Below are 22,163 nucleotides of genomic sequence, written 5' to 3' on the forward strand. Positions count from 1 at the left end.
CGAGCTACTGGAGGAAACTCAAACCAAAGGCAAAGAAGTTGAAAACTTTGAAAAAAATTTAGACGACTGTATAACTAGAATAACCAATACAGAGAAGTGCTTAAAGGAGCTGACGGAGCTGAAAGCCAAGGCTGGAGAACTACGTGAAGAATGCAGAAGCCTCAGGAGCCGATGCGATCAACTGGAAGAAAGGGTATCAGTGATGGAAGATGGAATGAATGAAATGAAGTGAGAAGGGAAGTTTAGAGAAAAAAGAATAAAAAGAAACGAACAAAGCCTCCAAGAAATATGGGACTATGTGAAAAGACCAAATCTATGTCTGATTGATGTACCTGAAAGTGATGGGGAGAATGGAACCAAGTTGGAAAACACTCTGCAGGGTATTATCCAGGAGAACTTCCCCAACCTAGCAAGGCAGGCTAACATTCAGATTCAGGAAATACAGAGAACGCCACAAAGATACTCCTCGAGAAGAGCAACTCCAAGACACATAATTGTCAGATTCACCAAAGTTGAAATGAAGGAAAAAATGTTAAGGGCAGCCAGAGAGAAAGGTCGGGTTACCCACAAAGGGAAGCCCATCAGAGTAACAGCGGATCTCTCGGCAGAAACTCTACAAGCCAGAGGAGAGTGGGGGCCAGTATTCAACATTCTTAAAGAAAAGAATGGTCAGGGGTCAGGGACCCATTTGAGGAGGCAGTCTGCCCGTTCTCAGATCTCCAGCTGTGTGCTGGGAGAATCACTGCTCTCTTCAAAGCTGTCAGACAGGGACATTTAAGTCTGCAGAGGTTACTGCTGTCTTTTTGTTTGTCTGTGCCCTGCCCCCAGAGGTGGAGCCTACAGAGGCAGGCAGGCCTCCTTGAGCTGTGGTGGGTTCCACCAAGTTCCAGCTTCCCGGCTGCTTTGTTTACCTAAACGAGCCTGGGCAATGGCGGGCGCCCCTCCCCCAGCCTCGCTGCTGCCTTGCAGTTTGATTTCAGACTGCTGTGCTAGCAATCAGCGAGACTCCGTGGGCGTAGGACCCTCCGAGCCAGGTACAGGATACAATCTCCTGGTGCACTGTTTCCTAAGCCCCTCGGAAAAGCACAGTATTCGGGTAAGAGTGACCCGATTTTCCAGGTGCTGTCTGTCACCCCTTTCCTTGACCAGGAAAGGGAACTCCCTGACCCCTTGCGCTTCCCGAGTGAGGCAATGCCTCGCCCTGCTTTGGCTCATGCACGGTGCACTGCACCCACTGTCCTGCACCCACTGTCTGGCACTCCCTAGTGAGACGAACCTGGTACCTCAGATGGAAATGCAGAAATCACCCATCTTCTGCGTGGCTCAAGCTGGGAGCTGTAGACAGGAGCTGTTCCTATTCGGCCATCTTGGCTCCTCCCCCCCATCTTGGCTCCTCCCCAAATAGATGTAAAAATATTAGCATTATGAAATAAGAACTAAAAAAGTCTTTGAAATGTTACTAGCATTGAAGGTGGGGAAGAAAGCTTTTTTCATTTTATATCCTTTTATACTGTTTACATTTTTATTTCTTGGGTGTTTATTGCAATAAACATAAAAAATAGTGAAGTAAATACTAAATAAAGAGGTGGAAAGAGATTCTGTGGAAATATAAGCAAACCAAAAGCAGAAAGTAATACAGAATCCCAGGAAGAAAACAATTAGTAAAACAAAAGAGTACAGAAGATTCTACCCAAAGTGCTAATAATAGGTGATGGGATCATAGTATTTTTTACCTTTTCTTATCTGCATTTTCTAGTATTTATGCAGTAGTGACTGATTACCTATGTATTATTAGAAAAGAAAAAGAAATAAGAAAAAGTGAGAATAACATTATTTATTTCCACCAAGTTTCACAGTGAACACCCAGCATAGTAAATCTCTCTCCCCTAGGATATCCACCATGCTGACCACCTGGCCTCCTAGCCCTGCCAGGCCTGAAATTCCATCATTCTACAGCTCTGCACCTACCTGGGAATTATTCCCTCTGTCCTAGAGCTCACTCTACTGTTCCTACATTTCCTAATTCTGCCCCTTACATTTTTCTTCCCTATTTAACAGCATTAAAGACATAAACCTTCACAAGATCATAGGATTTCTTTTTTTTTTTTATAACTGGACTCATTTGGAGGGTGCTTACACACACACACACACACACACACACACACACAGCAGCAGCAGCAGCAGCAGGAAAATAATTAATGAAATCACAGCAAAGGAAATTTAAGATATGAGATGTGGTTGGAACCCAACACACACAAGTCCTGTACACTGTACTAAGATGAGCCAAAAATTGTGGATTTGAGCTTTCCAACACTCTCCCATCACCAGAAAAGGGGGAGAAATGCTCGATTAAAAGATTCAGAGAATCCATGAGTTAGGAAACAAACTTCATACTGATATGTGGCTGTTGGTGTTTAAGAGAACCACAGTCTTATCTGACAAGGCAAGCTGAAAGACGTTTCCTTTGGAAGCCCTGGGTCCAGGGTCGTTAAGAAGCAATGTGTTCCTTTGAGCTTGAGGCCCTTCTGTTCCTTCCCCCTGGACCTGAATGTCTCATTCCCTTAGGGCTCTCACTTCACAGTGCACTCCTGGTGCCAATTACAGTTTCATGACTGGCCTGGCCTAAAAAATATTCTATTAGGCTGGATGCGGTGGTTCATGTCTGCAATCCTACCACTTTGAGAGGCCAAGGTGGGAAGACTGTTTAAGCCCAAGAGTTCAAGACGAGCCTAGGCAATATAGAGAGACCCTGTCTCTAAAAAAATAAACATAAAAAATAAAAAACTTCTGCTAGTTTATCCTCCCCATCTGACAGACCAATCAGGAAATTGATACCCTAATAGCCTTCTAAGTTATTCCTACATAAACCCACCCTGCCCCTGAACAAGTGGCATTTGTAAAAGTTGAGTAGACATGAGGGAAATAAGAACAAAGAAATGTCAGAATGCTACCAAATTTATGCTTTTTAGCTGCACATTTAATTATGAAAACCTGCAAGTATTTTTAGAGAAGTACTGTATTTGGCAGACTTTTAAAGAAAATTTACAAAAGATTTATGTTTACCAAAAAAAGACAAATGATCACCTAAGTGCACCAGATATTTAAGCATTCAGTCTAGTCATCTTTAAGATATCAAGCACCTTTATGTCAACTTTAAAAAAGAAAAATCTTAATCAAGACAATAGAAACAATTCAATTGATTCCTAGAACATTTGCTCAAGGAATTATTTAAATACACCAAAAAGACTTCAAAAACCCGAAGAGTAATATATGTTTTCTGATAAATCCAGGCAACGTATGACAAAAGGAGCTTTTCCTGACAGTCCAGTACAACTGCAATTTCAGATCTAAAGGTTATGTCATCAAATCATCAAATACAATTTATTAACCGCCCCCAGGAGCAGGGCACACAGCAGCGCAGTGTCAACCAGTGACAGTGGTGCTCACGCTCATCAACACGAACGTGAACAACCTAATCTCTGCGTGTGGGAGAGAAACAATAAAATGGCAACAGTCTGCACAGAAATCGTTTAGCAAAATGGAAAAAAAAATGTCAATTCTTAGCCAAATAAAAAATTCAATTTAAGAAATTTAACCAGTTGCATTTAGAGAAATCTGCCTGCATGCTTGCCCCAACCCCTGAAAAATCATCCCTCTGTGTTCTATCTATTCAAGTATTTAGGTTACACATCTGTGATTTTCATATTTTTTTCTTTAAGAGTTGAGACTGATACCCTGTCATAGCTTGTCTAATTGCAGCTGTAACAATGTTGAAATCCTCAAAGGCATAAATGGTAAATATTTATCACTTAATTAATGGTAATATTTTAGGATGTTTATGACAACTCTCAAGATGATTGACAACATGATGGGGCTACTGCAAACCAGAATTTGGATTTCATGATATGGAGTAGTGGTAAGGATGAAGATCAGGTTGAAATTAATCCAGACCTTAAACTGAAGCTCAGTCTCACTTAGTTAACTCATCAGAAAATGCTGTCAATCAAGGCTTTTAGTAGGATATAATATGGCAGCCAACAGGCAAAGATGACCAATTTTAGGATATGCAATGTGGCAGCTTGTTTTTCCCAAGGATGGCCCCAATAGCTCCCATCCCACATGCTCTTGACCCTGCCATGCTGCATCAGGAGATGGAGTCTAATTGCCCTCTCCTTGAATTTGTGCTGTCTTGATGACCTACTTGTTAATGACTGAATAAAATGAAAGTGTTGCTGCTTGAGTTTCGAGACAAAGTCAGTAAAGGCCATGAAGCCTCTACCTGGTTCTCATGCAACATTCACTCCAGGGGAAGTCAACTGCCATGTAATAAGTTTAATAATTCTGAGACCACTATGGTAAAGAGGCCACAGATAATTGCTCCTTTAGGTAGTCCCAGCTGATCCCAGCTTTCATCCATCCTTCCAAGACATCAGACACGTCAGTGGTCTTGGACTCTTCAGAATAACTATCCAGCAGCTGAACCACAGAATGACCTCATCTCATGCTACAGGGAGCCAGAGAGTCACCCAGCCAAGCCCTGCCTGCCTATCAGACCCACCAAAGGAGATATAATAAAAACAGTTATTGTTTTAAGCCACTAAATTTTTGGTAGAGTTTTCCACAGCAGTAGATAACCAGGACATGGAGGCAAAATATTACCAGCCACAGCAGGAAGCATCTGGAGACCCATCCACAGCCATGGCCATGCTCTCTCTGCAAAATCTCCATGAGATTCCACACAGGCCAGGCTCTGGTCATGTGGGGCAACTTCACTCTCCGTGAAAGTGTTTATTTGAATGCCAAGAGACCCTAGTGCATTTAGGTACTTTTTTCACATCATTAACCATTTGACAGGGATGCTCAGAGTGCAGAGGATACTAACAGATTAAAAGCTTCTACCCACAGAGGAGGAATCAGAAATTAAAATAAGACATTTCTGAAATTGTCATGTGAGTTGGTGAGTAAACCCATCTTGTTCTACGTGAAACTTAAAAAATATTTTCACGGATTAAATGAGAAGAACTAAAAACAGTTGTTAACTCTATGTTCTCTGAATGCTGATTTATATTCAGAATATATTTCCCAAAATGTTCTAAGCATGAGTCCCAATAACGCTTATCTAATCTATAAGCCCCATAGGCCAGGGCTATGAGCTAAGGAAAGAGAAGGATTAAAAAAAAAAAATCTATCTCTTCTTTGGGAGCTGGGCCAGTGCTAGAAGAAATTTAAGAATATGTAGTTTTGGGCCGGGCGCGGTGGCTCACGCCTGTAATCCCAGCACTTTGGGAGGCCGAGGCGGGTGGATCATGAGGTCAGGAGATCAAGACCATCCTGGCTAACATGGTGAAACCCCATCTCTACTAAAAATACAAAAAATCAGCCGGGCGTGGTGGTGGGCGCCTGTAGTCCCAGCTACTCTGGAGGCTGAGGCAGCAGAATGGTGTGAACCCGGGAGGCAGAGCTTGCAGTGAGCCGAGATCGCGCCACTGCACTCCAGCCTGGGCGACAGAGCAAGACTCCATCTCAAAAAAAAAAAAAGAATATGTAGTTTTGTCTTTGGCCCTCTGGTACTTTCTCCTAGTTCCTGGAACCCTAAGGTCACTCCCTAGCAGTGGAATTACTTCAAGCCTACCCTCAACTCCAGCACCTTCCACCCCGGTAGGGCATGTTCTAAAATTACTTATCAAATTTCTTCCCCCAACCCCCAGGGAATAAATTCTTACTAAGATAAATGGTTGATTGCCTCCTTCTGCCTTTATTTACATTACTGGGATTTCCGGCTGCTTGGTGAAGTGAAGAGAAAATGATCAGGGGACCAGCCAGCAGACAGAACAGCTCTCCCATGAGCGTCTTCTGGTTTTTCACAGCGCCGTTTTCCCTCCCCTTCTGAACCTGTGGATTATTTCTAGCTCCATGGTGGTGACTACAATAAGGAAGTCAGTGATGGAGATAAGGGTTAGCCTAAGGGTAAACTCACCTAAGTTTGGGTAGTTTGCAAATGGAAAACTTCACATGTAATCTTCATCCAAAAGGTGAAGTCAACAGAGGATAGTTCCAAAACCATGCAATGTTTAACAACTGGTGCTCTGAAGAACAAGCCCTGAGTTGTTGCATTTGGCAATTTCCATGGTGTAAATGCTCCCACCACGACTGATTTTAAGATACCAATGTGCCATCACCAAAAAATGGACTTAGGTAACGATGTACATAATCACATCTCCTCAACCAGGAAGAGCCAGCTTCAGCCATCATAGCGGCATCTATGACAATCATGTCTTACTCCCAAGCCCAAGCAGATAAGATAAACTGGAGATGGGTTTCTACCAGGAAGCTATTTTTGAGAAGAAATTGTTCATCAAAGTCTAAAAGATACAGATCAACTTTTGTCCATGCACAGCACTGCTCACTTCCCTGCCCCTAAAGTCCTTCTCTTTTCACACCTGGAACCACTTGGTTTTAAACAGATTGCTTAAGTGCCAGTGTCCACAGGGGGCTCCTTTCTGGTAATCATGTTCCTGGTTTGCTTTGTGTGTCCAAGTCCCTGTCTCCACAACTTGTCCATCCTCCAAGTGACTCTTGGTCCCTCGCCTCTGTCCCTAGAGACTGGTGCCCTGACTCAAGCCATTCCCTACGGCCAGAGCCCTGCTCCTTGTTGACTGGTATCCCCAAGGCTGATCCAGGCTGTGCTGTTTGGAGAAGGAAAAGGACTTCAACAAGTCTTGAGTGCCATGTTGTTTCAGGCATCCAGCCAGTGTGGGAAATGGATTCTCTCTGCCTTATAGGTGAAGACCCTGAGGTCTACATGCACTCCCGACATTGTACAACTTTACAAGGGCAGAGCCAAATTTCAAACCAGATTGGTTGAAACCAAAGACCAGCTGTCTGATCTTAATACTCCCCCCAACCCCATTATACTGTTTGTATTTCCCAGGAACCTAGAGTCCAGAAGAGATGATCTAAGGATTCCACAAATATTGTATGCAACTTTTCTTTTAATATATTTTAATCATTTATGTAGAAATTTACAAATTAAAGCAATATGTAAAGTCGATGTATTTTATATCAAATATGGGTAACCCATGTTGACAGGTTAGCTCATGCGTCTGCTTCAAAATAAAGCTTCCTTATTATTTTATGAATATGTAGATTTTAAAATAAAGTTTCCTCATCTCATTGATGTATTTACACTTGTCATGTATAAAATTGTGCATACGAACAGAAGTGGGGCAAAATTATTACACCACGGCAAGTGCCAGGATTTTTTGTTTATTCATCTTACCAAAGTTGGATGTATGCTTCAGGAAGGCAGAGACTTTGTTCTGCTTATTGCTACATCCGAGGTGCCCAACTCAGTGCCTGGTATAGAAGGTGCTCAATGAATTTTTTCAAATGAATAGATGAGCAAATAAATGAATGAAAAGTGAAAATTAATTTGACTGTTTTGAAATTTTGAGTGGCTGTATGGCAGAGACAGGTACTAGAATATATGAGAGTTTTTAATGATATTGTTAAACATCTCATAATGTTACAACATAAATTTGGAAAGTGTTTTCTACCATACAGTTGTGATTTTAAACTAAAGAACCCATTCATCAATTTCCTCCAGCTTGTACACTTACCAGTTAAGGAATGCAGGCCATTCTGAGAGACTGAGAGTAACTCAACTCTGGAACAAAACTATCTTACCACTTCTCTTTCAAATCTCTGGAGTAGTTTAATGGAAGAGGATACTGAGCTCATGAGACAAGCTTTCGGGAATTAATATGTACAACTATCTAGCTGTGTGAATCGGGACTTTTTCAATATCATGCAGCCTAACAAAATGCAGGCATAAATAGAATACTGAGACTGAACTGAGACTGCCAATATTACCCAAAAAAAAACTGATCTCAAAGTCTGTATTCATCTAAACAGCCTCATTTTTCTTACTATCTGGTTACCAATGAGTGAATATCATACATTTAAACTTATAAAATCAATTCATTCCAATCAAACCTTACCTGTTTTACAAGCCAAGGTTCTTTTGTCATTTGAGAGAAATAAAGAATTTCACTGATAAAAAAATTTAAAATTGGAAAACAATGGCCCTACACCATAGTGTTTCCATTCTCCTGAACCGCAGCAATTGCCTGCTCTAGGATGCTCTTTCATGGTGTTTGGAGGTCAACCCCATCTGCTGAAACCACCCACAGCACCTCACTCATGTGCAGCTTCGTAGGTGAGATGAGTCCTCAGCCCTTTTCTGTGGACCCTAACCCATGGTGGTCAGGGCAGCCAGGAGAGCACAGGCTTGCAGCAAGGGCCTTGGGTTTACTCCATCTCCGCCACTTACCAGTTGTGGACAAGCAACTAACTTCTCAAACATCGGTTTCTTCACCTGGTGAAATAATCACGTTAACCACTTCATAGGGTTGTTGTCAGGATTAAACAGATAATTTGGGCAAAGCATTTGTAACAGAACAGATATTATCATGATGATTATTTCTATTTTTATTATCATTATATTTTAGCTCTTAGGCTTAATCCACATACATAAGGCACCTTGCTTTATGCCTGTTTGATAAATGTGTTCAGAAATATCTAGGAAAATATTAATTAATTATAGCTAAACAGAAAAGCATAAAGGATTATATAATGGATTGCAGTATTGCCGAGTTTTGTCATTTCACGTTTGATTAGTACAATGTTTCAGAAGGATGCTATCCAGCCTCAGTGTTCCAAGTGGCAAGAAAGGGCCCAATCATGCAAACCATTATCACTGATGTACATTTGATCTCCACCATCATTCCTCACTGCTTATCTGTGGATTGTTTCAAAGTAGTAAAGCAAAAAAAAAAAAAAACAACAAAAAATCCAAATGTTCCTAACTTTAAAATGTATTCATGCACATCCAGATCCTGAGACAGGAAGGAGCTTGAGAAGTCACAGTGTCCACAACCCTGCCCCTGGGAAGGGCACTCGAAAGGTTTTTATGAGCTTCCCAGGGAAGGGAAGCTACTGAGGGGAGCCCCTGAGCTAGAGGTAGGAGGAGGCTGAACCAGGTGGTGCCCTGTGGCAGCTTCCCAGGACATGGCACTCTATGATCCAGACCCAAGAAACTGGAAGTGGGGGACCTCCCTGCCAGAGCCAGGCTCACTCCTTCCTGCCACCTACTGCTGAGCTTGAACTGGGATGTGGCAGAATTGGATGCATCTACGCCACTTCCCCTGTGCAGCCCCTGCACCAAAGCACATGTGGTGAGCTGGGACAGGATACCACAGAAAGCCAAAGCCATTTCTTTTTTGTTTTTTTTAGACAGAGTTTTGCTCTTGTTGCTCAAGCTGGAGTGCCATGGCGTGATCTCAGCTCACTGCAACCTCCGCCTCACAGGTTCAAGCAATTCTCCTGCCTCAGCCTCCTGAGTAGCTGGGATTACAAGCATGTGCCACCACGCCTGGCTAATATTTTGTATTTTTAGTAGAAACGGGGTTTCACCATGTTAGCCAAGCTGGTCACGAACTCCTGACCTCAGGTGATCTGCCCCACTCGGCCTCCTAGCCATCCCTTTTAAAAGAACCTCTCTAGCTTCTTCAAGTCAGACTCCTACTCTGACCCTTCTCAGATCCCTACCATCTGCCAGTACCCTGACCCAACCTTGTTGCCAACAAAATCACTGCCTCACAGAGGAAAAGAAAGCTAAGAAAGGAGGCTGAGGGGCCTTTAAAAACCACTTGACCCCTCTCACTGGATAGTGACAGCCCCTGGGTCTGGGATACTCATTCACATGCCCAGCCATCACCTACTGAGTGCCTGCTATGCTCAGGTGCTGTGCTAGACATCAGGCATTTGAACGCGGAGAAAGCAGAGCACCTGAGTCAACTTGCTCATGGTATAGGGAGTGACACAGCGTGCAGAGTAAGAGGGAAACATGAGGGCTGTCAAGGGCACCTCACTCAGACCAGGAGTTTCACAAGCTGGGGCTCCTCGGAAAGCAGACTGATGTGGAGTCAGCAGGCAGGGTTTATTAAAGAGTGTCTTTGGGACTGACCTCTGTAGAAGGAAGGGGACAGAAGCAGGGTTGGGCAGAGGGAGGATTTGATCCATGATCAGACCCAACAAAAGTCTTGGGCAACAACATGGAGGCCTCTGAAGCTAAAACAGCCCAATGCAGTTTTAGGTCTTTCTACTGTTGCATCAACCCATCATTGAATTGAGCCATACTAATAACAGGCATGAGCTTGAGCAGGGTGGCTTTCTGCAGATGAGGCAATTCCTGAGGGGGCTGACAGCAGAGTGCTACTACTGACCACAAACCCCACAGCTGGGGCCACACATCCTTTGATAAAGGGGGGATCTGGATGGCATCAGGCAGTGTCCACCACAGGAGCCAAGAAAGGTCTAAGAGGAGGTGATTCCTGACATGAGTCTTAAAGGAGAAGCAGGAGTGAGCCAGGTGAGGAGCAGGGATGGAGGCTCCTGGAAAAGGACACCTGAAGGATAAAGCAGCAGGCTGTTTGGTCCCCACCATGTGTCATCAAAATGGGCGTGAGCTCAATGCCAGACACAAACTGGTTTAGAATTAGCTGTCCCCTTTAACTACAGCTAAACAAGCTACTTTTCCATTCCACCCACTCTTCCAAACACCATTTTATGAGCCATTCACAGTTCTACATGCTGAGAATAGTAGATGAACTTCTGGGCCTGCCTTGACCCCAAAGAAGAGGCTCCCAGGCTGGGATGGAACTTCAGATGGTGGGAAGACAGAGCCAGAGATGTGAGTAGGGCACAAGGGCAGCAAGACAGGGCTGGAGCTGCTTGGAAAAAGTGGCCCCAGAATCCCATTGTGTTGCTTATGGGACAGAGTCCCTTTTCTGGAGAGTGAATCTTGACAAAGGGCCAGCAGCCTTTTGGATCAAGCTCCCGTGGGGAAGTGTCAACCTGCCAGAAACCCTGTTTCTCAGGCCACACCAGCCTGAGTAGGAAGTGAGCCTCACAATTCTGCACTCAGGAGTGCCGCCACCACTTTTCCCCAATTCTAGTTCCTCCCATGTCTACCAAACATTCTCCAAATCTCTCTAGGAAGTCCTGGGGTGATGCATGGGTGCTGCACTCTAGACATCTTGAGACATGCCCTCCTCCTCCTCCTCCATCCTCTTCTCCTCTTCTTTGTTCTCCAATGCTTGTGCTGCTGTTCATAGATATCCCCTCTCAGTGTCTGCTGATGCCAGAACAGAGGAATCCGATGTTAGGTCACTCTCAGCGAAGGCCAGTGTCCACAGTGAAGGCTCTACACAGTCCCTCCTTGCTCAAAGTTGCTCACCCCCACGTCACTGAAGCTTCAGCTCTCAGGACCGTGTGCCATAGTGGGGAAACAGTCATATTTAAGAGACTGTAGGATCCAGTCAAAACCACCTCTCCCTATTGCCCTGGTTTTTTATGTTGACAACAAAATCACGTGCCTCCATGTTCTCTTGCTTTTCCTGGGAGATAGCTTGGTACCTTGTGAAAAAAGGTCCCTGAGGACAAATCCCTGGGGTAGCGCAGCTTCTCTCAAACTGGACCCAAGTTTTGTAAGGAAAAATAATAATAATTTTCCAGCCACTAGATAAGCTCCCACAGCCCAATATCCCAGGATGAGAAGCATTACCAAGTGTAAAATGAGGAAACCCGGGTCAGCATTGCCCCAAGGGTGTTCTGGTGATGGTAGAAAAATGGAGGTAAAATATTCGAAAAATATTTGAAAAATAAAAGATATGCCAAGTTAAACAGATTCATTTCCTATTGGACTTCTCAGAACCTTTGGCATTCCAACACACAGCGTGAATCTCCAGGAGGGGTATGTAGACACACCAGCACCCATGCTCCTGTGTATACAGGCTCCTTGGCTCTAGATCATCTCTGGGGCCCACTGCTCTGCAGAACACATTTTAGGTCTCCAGTCAAATGCCCCAATTGCAGAGATCATTCTGTGTCATTTCATGGATTGGAGAATGATGAGCAAGAAACAGGACAGCTGCCTGGGTGGGGCTGCCACTCAGGCCAAGGCACAAGTCATCCAAGGAAGCCAGGTGCCCCAGCTGAGGCCTTGGCTACCCAATAGCTGGGATCCCAGCTCTGCTCCCTACTCTTGCTCTGCTGCTGCCTCAGAGGCAGGGCTTCCCCAGGAACATTCCTGAACTAGCCAGGATTTTTTCAAGTGAAAAGGACAGAACCTCTACTCAAGCTGGTTCAACAAAAAAGTCAAGGTAAAGCTTTTATTGGCTCATGTAACTAAAAAGTCCAGAGATAAGCCTAGCCTCAAGAGAAGCTTGGTCCAGAGCTTTGCTCTCTTTCCATCCCTCAATTTGCTTTCCCCAGTGTTAGCTGCATTCTTATGCACACTTTTTCTTTGCAGTGGCTTTTAGAAGCTTCAGGCTTATATTCTGCTGTCTTAACAATTCCCATTAGTAAATATAAAGCTTCTACTGTCCCATATTTCCTGTGAAATGCTAGATTTGCACCTCAGTGACTTGGATGGTGTTACATACCCAACGTTGAGCCAATAGCTGTGGCCATGGACATGAATTGTCTAGGCCTTTGACATGTGCTGGAGAAGACATGCACTGGCCTGGCAGTGGGGAAAGAAATGGTTCCCCAAAGGAAAACCAAGGAACAGCTTCAGGATGGGAAAATGGATGCTGTACGTACAGCAACATCCCACTACAATACCATTTGCTGACACAGCTTATAGGGCCTGTGCTGGACTTTGCCCTCACTCTGTAGCCTAGAAGAAGTAGCAGCAGAGGCCCTACATGAGACACTTCCTCTCTCCTACAGGTCCAGCATGACTAGTTCCCCATGTCCTAGGTCTCCCACTGCCAAGATGGCCACTTGTCCTGCTGCACTGAAAAAATGCCCTAGGTGAAGATGAGCAGGAACTCTCTGCATAATAACCACATGGATCCTTCTAGCACCTGGATGAGCAATTTGCTCTCAAATATTCATGGAATGAATTTGAAATTTGGGAAATGGGAGGGAGCCTGGAGGAGGAAGATAAATAAATACAACTAAAACCTAAAACCCTGTGCTAGTCATCAATTTCAACTTCCTCTGCAATCAATCCTCTCTGACAAGGAGGAAATCCAGCTGACTGGTGTTTCACAGATTCAGATGATGCAGAGCTGAAAGGGGACCTCAGAAACTTCTAGCCCAACCTTCCACTAGGCACAAGGAATCCCTCATGTGAGCTCCCTGATGGGGGCTTGAATACCTCCAGTGACACCTCTGTCACCATCAAACAAAGCGACAGATTTCATAGCTAGGTAGCCTATCTTGAGCTAAAATCCACCTACCAGAAACTTTCAGCCACTGATCCTGGTTGTACCTCCAGGCACCATCAGCATGATCTGAGCCACCAGATCATGGCTTGTACTACTGCACCCCACCCAATTCCCATCTGAGGCAGGTGCCGCAAGTACAGATAGTGGCAGCCAAGCAGACACTTGTGAATGGCATCAGGCTTTATGGCCACAGCAATGGGCCCTCCTGAATGACTGATCATAGGCCAGAACCTGAAACAGACTTTTGGCTTTTCCTCACCTTCTATTCACTATTCACCGTTTGAATCTTAATTGGCCCCTTGGAATCTGATTTTACTCTGTCTCTCCAACTTAACATCAGCTGCTGTTGACCTCATTCTGGCATCACTGGACCTGATCCTGCCTTATTTTGCAGCTACAGAGGCTCTGGGCAGCTCATGATCTTTCTCTGCTGCAGTGCTCCAGTGCTGACTATCTGACTTCTCTGCTGTCTGACTGCAGGGCTATCCTTGGCCCATTGATGCTCTGTGTGAATCCAAAGTCTCCTGTTCTTCTGGACAGACACAACCATGCCAGAACATATGGCTCAGTGGGTGGAAAGTGAGCTCTACCTTAGTCCTCCCATGCCTTTTCCTTGGGCAGTGAACAACCTGCATAACTGTAAGCAGCAGCCCTGACTGCCATCTCCCTAATAGGTACTGACAATCCAGAGGCCTACTTGACACTAGCTTTCTCTGCAGGACCTCCTGGAATCCAAGGCTGGCCTCTCCACTGCCTTCTTTACTCCAATTTACTATCTGAGCTGCCCCAGACCATGGGGGTCCTGAGAGCTGGAATCATATTGTAATCCTCACTGTGCTCAACAGATGTTTACATGATGAACATGAGTGACAAAAAGGACAAAAGAAGCCAGCTTTCCACACCCTGGATGGCAGACCCTTGAATGAGTGAGGCTTTGCTTTATTGAATTCAGCCTGGCCTCTCTACCAAGCATTCCTTCACTCATGTGTTCCATCAAAACTCACTATTTATGGGCTCCCTGTCCAGCACTCTCTGCTCCTTCCTTGATGGACGTTCAATCAGTCAGGGCTGTGAGGGGAGAAGAGAAGCAGAAGAGGATGGAGAAGACACTCTCCTTTGCAGCTTTCCCCTTTCTCCTACTGACCAGAGGCAGCCTTATGGCCTTGACCCCAGCAGACACAGCTCCCAGCCTCTGCCAGGGTTACTCAAGTAAGAATGAATAGCCACTCTGCAGGGAACTGATGAGCGCCCACAGAGAGCCCTGAGAGGTGAGCAGGCATTGCAGCGCTGTGATGTGGGTCAGACACACCTCTCTGCCCACCCTGCTGACGGCCCCTCCTCCCGCCCTCTTCACCTCCTCTTGCCGGCAGGCCCATGGAGGCAGATTGTCTGTCCTGGCCTGAGAATGTACCTGGCAGGGCTGGCCGCGGAAGACCCAGTCATGCGGGGCTGGAGTCTGCTTTCCTGTGAACGTCACTGTCTGCGTGCAGAATTACACTGCTGAGGAGCAAGCAGAATGGATGATGGAGGCTGACAGGCCACGAGACCCCAGAGCAATTTCACCTGGTTTTGATTCATGGCTTGTCAGAGCGCTAACCAAATATTCCATTTTCATTTTCGCCCTCCACTCTCTCCCATTGACTGGCATCATAATTGAAAACTCCAGCATGAAGAGCTGGGACCACCTGTCTGCAGGGCCCTCAATTCCGTCTGCTCCGAATGTCTTGCTCCTCAAAGAGGAGGGCAGAGGGGAAAATCAGCAAACAGATGGTGTGAGGATTAGATTCATGTGGACCAGCCTCGGCTGACTCTCAGCTGTCTCATCTTGAGCAACCTTGGCCTCTCCCACCCTCCGCTCTGCCTTTTGAGCTTATTTCTATTTGTTTGCTCAACTATAAAAAAGGATGTAGGGCCAGAAAGATAAGCTGAGTTTGAAATCACTCTTTTCACTCTCTATTTGAAGGTCTGCTGAGAGTTGAAGCTGGCAAGAGGAGAGTTTTAGAAGATGGAGTCAATCAAACTTGGGAAATTTTTAAAATTTCTGTTTCTGAAATAAATCTCTCAAAGGCTGGCACCAATCATAATAACACCTAACACTTATTGAGCACCTACAACTTGCCAGGTGCTGCTCTAAGGATTTTAAATAAATTAGCTCATTGTATCTTGGCAAGAAAACTATATGCAAGGTTCTATTTTTATCCCCATTGCACAGATGGGGACACTGAGATCAAGAGATGCTGAAGAACTTGCTCAAAGTCAAACAGTGAAGAACTATTCAGGAGGGATTTCAAGTCTTAACGCCTATGCCATGCTTCCCAGCACTCAAAGGAGCAAGATCTAAAATAGACGGGCATATGACCTACAAATGATAGATAAATATTTATTTTAAATGGAAGTGAATACAGGAGTCTTAGTACAGAAAATGGCGCACGAATTTCAGCAGTCCCTGACTGTTGGAGGAAAAATGGTTCAGCTGCCCCAGTTCTGGGGTCCAGTTGGAAAGGGTAGGGAAGGAACAGAAAGAATTAAAAGGATCTGAGCCAGCATAGGTAGAAATGTGATGTATTTGTAGAAGCAGGAGCTGTCAATACCTCTGAGCTCCACTGGACATTGTGCTGTGACCTCAGCAGGTCAGCTGCCTGACAAGGGAATTAAGCTGAGGCTGGGAAGGCCTGGGATGGATAACTGAGCAGACTGGGTGCCTGTGGACCCACACCTGGTCAAGTCAGAATGCCATTCAATGGGGTGCTGTGGCTGGGGTGGGAGTGGATGACTGCCAGGAAGAATGAAAATTAGAGGCAGGGACTCAGCCATAGGGACCCATCCACATGGCTGGGAATAGGAGGGTACAAGATACCATACCTGGTGCAACAAAAGTTACTGAAGACCGTGCCGGTGATTGAGTTCCTCAAGTGCCTCAGGATGGGACCTCAAATCTATACTTTTATCAGGTACCCCAAATAATTCTGGTCATCAGCCAGGCATGGAAACTATATAGCAGTAGAAAAATGAAGGTCTGAAAGTGTCACATTTTCCCGTTTGCCCGTCCCCAGCTTGCCTGCCTGGGCCATGCTTCCTCCATTAGCCTATACAGGCTGCCTCCCACTCCCTGGGTTCAGGGCTGTTAGTAATTGTTTAGCCCTGAACCCTGAATCCAGCAAGTTTTAAATTTAAAACTTCACTAGCTTTCTGCCACAGTTCTACAACCTGACATCCAGTCTTCCCCAGCTCTTAGAGCCTCATGACACATGACTGAGCCCCACCTATTCCTGCTGCCTGCCCCTACCACCGCCTAGATGCTGCAAGCTGATACAGATGCGATGTCCTGCTGGCTCAAAGACAGAAAAGGAGGATTTCCTTCGCCTGTCATGTTGGCCTTGCCCCAGGTTGTACTAGTTCCCTATTGCAGTTCTAACAAATTCCCACAAACATCATGGCTTTGGAGGTCAGAAGTCTGAACCAGGTGGCACTGGATGAAAATCATGGTGTCGGCAGGGAGTTTTCCTTCAGCCTTTTCCAGCTTCTCAAGGCACCCGCATTCCTTGACTTGTGGCCCCGCATTGCTCTGGCCTCCACTTATGTTGTCATATCAGCTCTCACTCTGGCCCTCCTTCCTCCCTCTTATCATGACCCTTGAGATTACATTCAGCCTACCCAGATAATCCAGGATAATCTCCCCATCTCAAGATCCCTAATTTAATCACAGCTGCAAAGTCCCTGTTGCCATGTAAGATAACATATGCACAGATTCTGGAGATTAAGATGTGGATGTCTTTGGGGGAATATTATGTTGCCTACCACAAAGTTAATAATGCACATGCTCACTTTTGCTCCTGTGCTGGCAAGGGATGTAAAAGCAGGGAATGTGAGGACTGGGCACACAAACTCAGGCATTTGGAAGGTGGAGGAAAGGCCACCTTGCCCAACAGTGAAGATGACCAGGCTGCTCCTGGACTGAGTGAGGTGAGTGGAGACAACAGCAGAGGACCCTAGTGTGTTTGGGGGTGGGTGTCACTGTGTGTGCACGTGTGTATACATGTGTTGGGGAAGGGATTATGTGAGGTACTGAAAGCAATGCTGAAAACACCCCCTCACCCCCCAAGAGAGAACAAGAAGATGGTACCTGGCACCCTTCTTGTTTAAAATGGCATAATAAAAACATGCATCTCAGACTCCCAGACTTCATTGCTGAATTAATTTCTCCATGGAAGCCCAAGAATTCAGGAAATTCAGCCTTCCTCATTTCAGAAACAGAGGTCTGAAGAAAACAAATTGCTGTTTGTAGTCGCAGGCTTGACTGCTGTTAACTGCCTCTGAGAGGCTGGGCAGCGGTCGGCTGTCAGTCCCCCAGCAGCCTGACACAGGGCCTCTGAATATGGATTCACTGATGAGAATCGAAACGCTTGGAGCCTTTTGTAACAAGCTCTTCTGCTCCCTGTGTGAAAACACTCTTCCTTAACTCCTCCTCTTGAGCACACCGGGGTGGGAAAGCCCCTGCAGAGGCACTCTGGGCCTGGCTGCATCTGGCCGGCCCCCATAAATCACGGCTGCACAATAAAGATGCTCCATGGAGGCCATTAGAGGCCTGGGGAGCAACGGCGCAGGAATGGATGCCCGGCAAACAGGAGGGGAGCAGGAAGCCTCCCAGAGAAGGGAGCTGCCCTGTCAGCTCAGGAGGATCCCTGGGAAGGGGGACAGGGCCACCATGTGGCACAACTCCAAGAGGCACCACTGACATTGACAGGGCCCTGGAGGAGGAACGGGAGTGGTTTCTGCAAAGCCGACACAACACAGCTCTTCTTCCAGAGGTGTCCAGCCAGGCTCCAGAGCAGTCCTTGTGCCCAGACCACTCACTCTGGGAGGGGCGTCGCAGGCGTCTCTGGGTCCAGGAGGCTCTTGGTTAACCCCTGCACTTCTAGAGTAAGGATGAAGCCCCCTCCCAGGAATTTCAATAGTTCTTCAGATAAAACATCTGAATAATCCAGCTGAGGGCTCAAACTCATTTGCGAGCTTGCAAGATGGAGGGGTACATTTTTCATTCTCTTTTAAATGAAGTCAAATTTATATTTTATTTCTGAGGAGTTTTGTTTATTTTCCTAGCTATGACTTTAGATTTTTTTCCTCCATGTACCTCCTATTTTGCTATCAATTTTATTTCTTAAATATTCCTCCCCTGTCCTCTTCTTTTCCCTCCCTCATATTCCATAATTTCTTTTCAACTCTGGAAAATATCTCCTCTCCTGAGAGATTTCCTTTTCCTATTTCCAAACCATCCCCTAAATACATGTTTTAATAAGCTCCCAACACTGATCTCCTTACAAATCATTCTTTGCCAGTTTGCAATTGAACCAATGTCTTGGTTAAAATGAAAATTCCCCAGGGCACACAATAAATAATAAAAAAGAATAACATAATCGAGAGGGTTATTATTCTGAGCAGAAAAAAATAATGTGAAGCAGTTGGACTGTACTTTGTGAATCTTATGCTCAAAATGCAAACATGAGAGAAGGTGGTGGGCAGGAGCCTCGCTCTGCAAGCCCTCGCCCTTCTGGGAACTCTACGCAGCAGCATATGTTGAGGGGACTGATCTTGGGAAATGAAACATCTTTTCTCACAAAGACCTGCCTTTTGCAAGATGTTGGGAGTCACTCTTGGAGAAGGAAGCCACCAATATGAAATAAGACTCATGCAACGTTAACAAATATTTAGCACCAGGCACTGCACCACACACTGGGACTACAAGGAGGACAGACACAGCATTGTGGCACTTGCCGGTCTCATGGGTGAGAATTAAGGGGAAGCAGACTTTCATGGTGACACAGGCATGATTTAGAGTTAGAGACACAGGATTTCAGCCCTGGCTCTGTCTATGAGACTTTGAACAAATTGCCTATCCTTTCCATGTCTCAGTTTCCTCATCTGTAAAATGGGCATAGTAAGACGATCTACTATTGTTGTGAGGATGAAATGAAATCATTCCTATGAACACCTGAGTGTAGTCCATGTCACAGAGTGGGGACTCACCAAATGATAAACCCAATGTAAGTATCAATAGTCTAAATAACTAAAAACTGAAGCCCTCTGGACCCCAAGGACAAGACTCAGGGACTTCAGGCAGGGTTAAAGTGACGGAACACAGGACAATACATAGGGTCCCAGATGCCTGGCTAGAGCAGGACCAAAGAACCCCCAACATGAAGTCTAACCCAGGGCTCCATCCCTCTAGGCTAAAAGGCTTTTCTGCAGCATTGCAGAAAAAAGCCTCCCTTCTCCGCCTGCTCCCTCCCTCTCTTTCTCTCTCCTCTCTTTCTTCCAATGCTTTTGGATACCTTTAATGGACTTGCTTGTCCTCCATTTCCTCACAGGTTCTGCCATTCCAAATTGTCTTACTCCCATCTCTGTCATTCTTCATTGCCTACCTGGTCCCCAAGACATTTGAATTTGCAACCTTGGACAAGATTTCCTCCAGGGCCTTGCTACTCAACATGCGGTCCATGGACCAGCAGCACTCCAGACATCCGCCAGCATACACCAGAGTTTGTTAAAAATGCAGAATACCTGGTCTCACTCCAGATGTGTTGAAGTGGAAGCTGCATTTTAATAGATTTATGTGCACATTAAAGTTTGAGACATTTGGGCCAGTCCAGGAGAGCTTCTCTGAGATCCTTCACAACCCAAGCCCATGTTTCCTCTGCTCCTCAGGGCACATCATGCATCTGCCCCATCCATGCACCCTCCGAAATGGGATTATTCTGGGTACAGAGCATTGATGAGTTTCCACTGAAGTGTTAGAACACTTTCAGGAATTCTCCCTTATATGGATGTTCTTGCCTTAGCATGGTCTTCAGGAAGATCGCTTTTCAGATTTGGTGCCTCAAAGACGAGCAGTTAAGCTTCTACTGAAATCACAGGCTTGGTGCTCTCATGGAAAACTGGTGATGCTGGAGAGAAATGCAGACGTGGCAAATTTTAATGCTGCCGAAACATAATCAGCTTTTGCTTCTGCAGCAATTAGCATAATATTACCAATAATGTTTTACATGGCAATTTTGCTGTAAACATTTGTGCTAATTTGCCATGACCTAATTATTTTATGACATATAATTAGGAAGTATTTTTCAAGTCGAAATATTTTTGTTTTATGTTTCTATAATCCTTTTCCAGAAATAAAATTTAAAAATCAGCACTCCCACAAGTGGAAACACACAATTCTCTCTTAGCCGTTGTTTGTGACACTTTATTTCACTAAATAGGAGGAATTCCCTAGTGCTGGCACACTGATGATCATGCATTTCCTTGTGACTAATTTGAATTGGGCGTCATTGAATCCGCCCGCTCCATTATTACACCAGGAGATTGTCGAATCTATGCTGCCAGCCTCCTCCCAACACCCACTCATTCCCAAACATACAAACACTCTCAATCTGACAGGGGAGGTGGCTAATGCTTGCAATGAGAGAAAGAGGGTTGGGTATCATTTTTAATGAATGTGAAATCTTTGGCTAAGAGAAGAACATGAACATTGTATTATCCTCCCTTAGACAGATTGTTCCCAGTGTGCTCTTAACAGCCTCCTCCCATCCACAAGATGCTGAAGTGAACAGCCTCAACCATATCTTCCATCCCTACTCTCTCCCTAGTTAGAGGTCTGTAAGCTTTGTTGTGTGTATTCTCCTGGGGTGTCATAGGTGAGGAGGAGGGTGATGCCTTTCTTCTGCCCGGGTCCCCATGAAGACAGTCCTGTCATCAATCTGGCGTGGCGGTTCCTGCTGTTACCCACTCCAGGGCAGGTCTGCTTAGCAGTGGGTAATGAGATCACAGACCTTCAATGGTCAGCAACACCATCTGACCCCATGCGCCTGGAATAGACTCAGGAAGACAGCCAGTCTGTGGAAGGTTGACTATGCCAACTAGGGTCACCTTTTGAGGCAGGTTGAGGCAAGCCAGAGAATACCCTGAAACTCACACCCCAATTTCACATGGAGGAGGCAAGGTCTCAAAAATCTGGGCCACAGAAGTGAGGGCTAGAGGCCAGGGACCAGGGAGGGTGAGGGCAGCCAATGCCGTGAAAGCAGAAAACAGGAGGATGAGGTACATGAAAGCAGGAGGTGACCATGGCAGGCACTTCCAGAAAGAGGCACAGATATGTGTCCCCAGAGGAACTCCTCTAGGACAAACTTCACAACATGGGTTCATCCTATGCCCAAGTAGAGTGGAGAAGAGCCTAGACCTTGAAGCTGGAACGCCTCATTCCAAATCCTGGCTCCTCTACTTACTCAATGTGCAAACTGGGGCAAGTTCTAAACATCTATGTGCCTCCTTTATTGACTCTTCTGTAAAATGGGGATAACAGTAATATTAACTATCCTCCAGGGCCACTTTGAGGATTAAATTAATATTTATAAAGCCCTTAGAACAGACGTTATGTAAGTTTTTACGAAGTAAAATAAAATTTATTATTCTTATAGATTCCCACCAAGACAGGAACAGAACCTGCAAGGAACAGGCACCCACCAAACTCACAAAAGTGAGCAGCAACATATGTCAGGTTCTTTAATGATTACTGAGCTAATAATGTTTAAAATTTGTTGCAATAACTAGTTTTTTATTGAACGGATGGAACATTTACAGAGCATGTACTCTGAGTTAGGCCCTGGTCATGTCCTTGGGGAATACAAAGGTGAATAAACAGGAACTCACAGTGTAGCAGAAGTAGGCACACAAACCAATAGCTGCACATAAAAAGACAAAACTAATGTGCACAGAGAGATCACAAAAGAGGAACAAGATTAGCTCAAAAATCTACAACAGGTTCCAAGTTACTAGTTAACATTTTAAACTATAGATTTTAGCATACATGAAAGT

General features: G+C 45.2%; 1 long non-coding RNA gene across 4 annotated transcripts in view, besides 1 other annotated feature; it reads right to left on the reverse strand.

Annotated features, from left to right (window-relative positions):
• The window catches only part of LOC105374122 (uncharacterized), a 161,587-nt gene that overhangs the window by 83,688 nt on the left and 55,736 nt on the right, over window positions 1-22,163 (reverse strand). Inside the window, exon 5 of one of the 4 annotated variants that reach the window (XR_001740926.1) lies at window positions 18,464-20,239. The exons of the other annotated variants lie outside the window; for them this stretch is intronic. This is a non-coding gene — a long non-coding RNA (uncharacterized LOC105374122). Of the gene's footprint in view, window positions 1-18,463; window positions 20,240-22,163 lie in introns of those variants that run through there. 4 annotated transcript variants of the gene reach the window in all.
• Window positions 14,168-14,675: an enhancer, noted in NCBI's record as "NANOG-H3K4me1 hESC enhancer chr3:135171489-135171996 (GRCh37/hg19 assembly coordinates)". NCBI's record gives its function as "activates a minimal SCP1, AML or CMV promoter by ChIP-STARR-seq in primed H9 embryonic stem cells {active_cell/tissue: H9 hESC(primed)}" and the evidence as "EXISTENCE:reporter gene assay evidence [ECO:0000049][PMID:30033119]".

The sequence above is a fragment of the Homo sapiens genome, chromosome 3, assembly GCF_000001405.40.
Source record: "Homo sapiens chromosome 3, GRCh38.p14 Primary Assembly".
Classification (NCBI taxonomy): domain Eukaryota; kingdom Metazoa; phylum Chordata; class Mammalia; order Primates; family Hominidae; genus Homo; species Homo sapiens.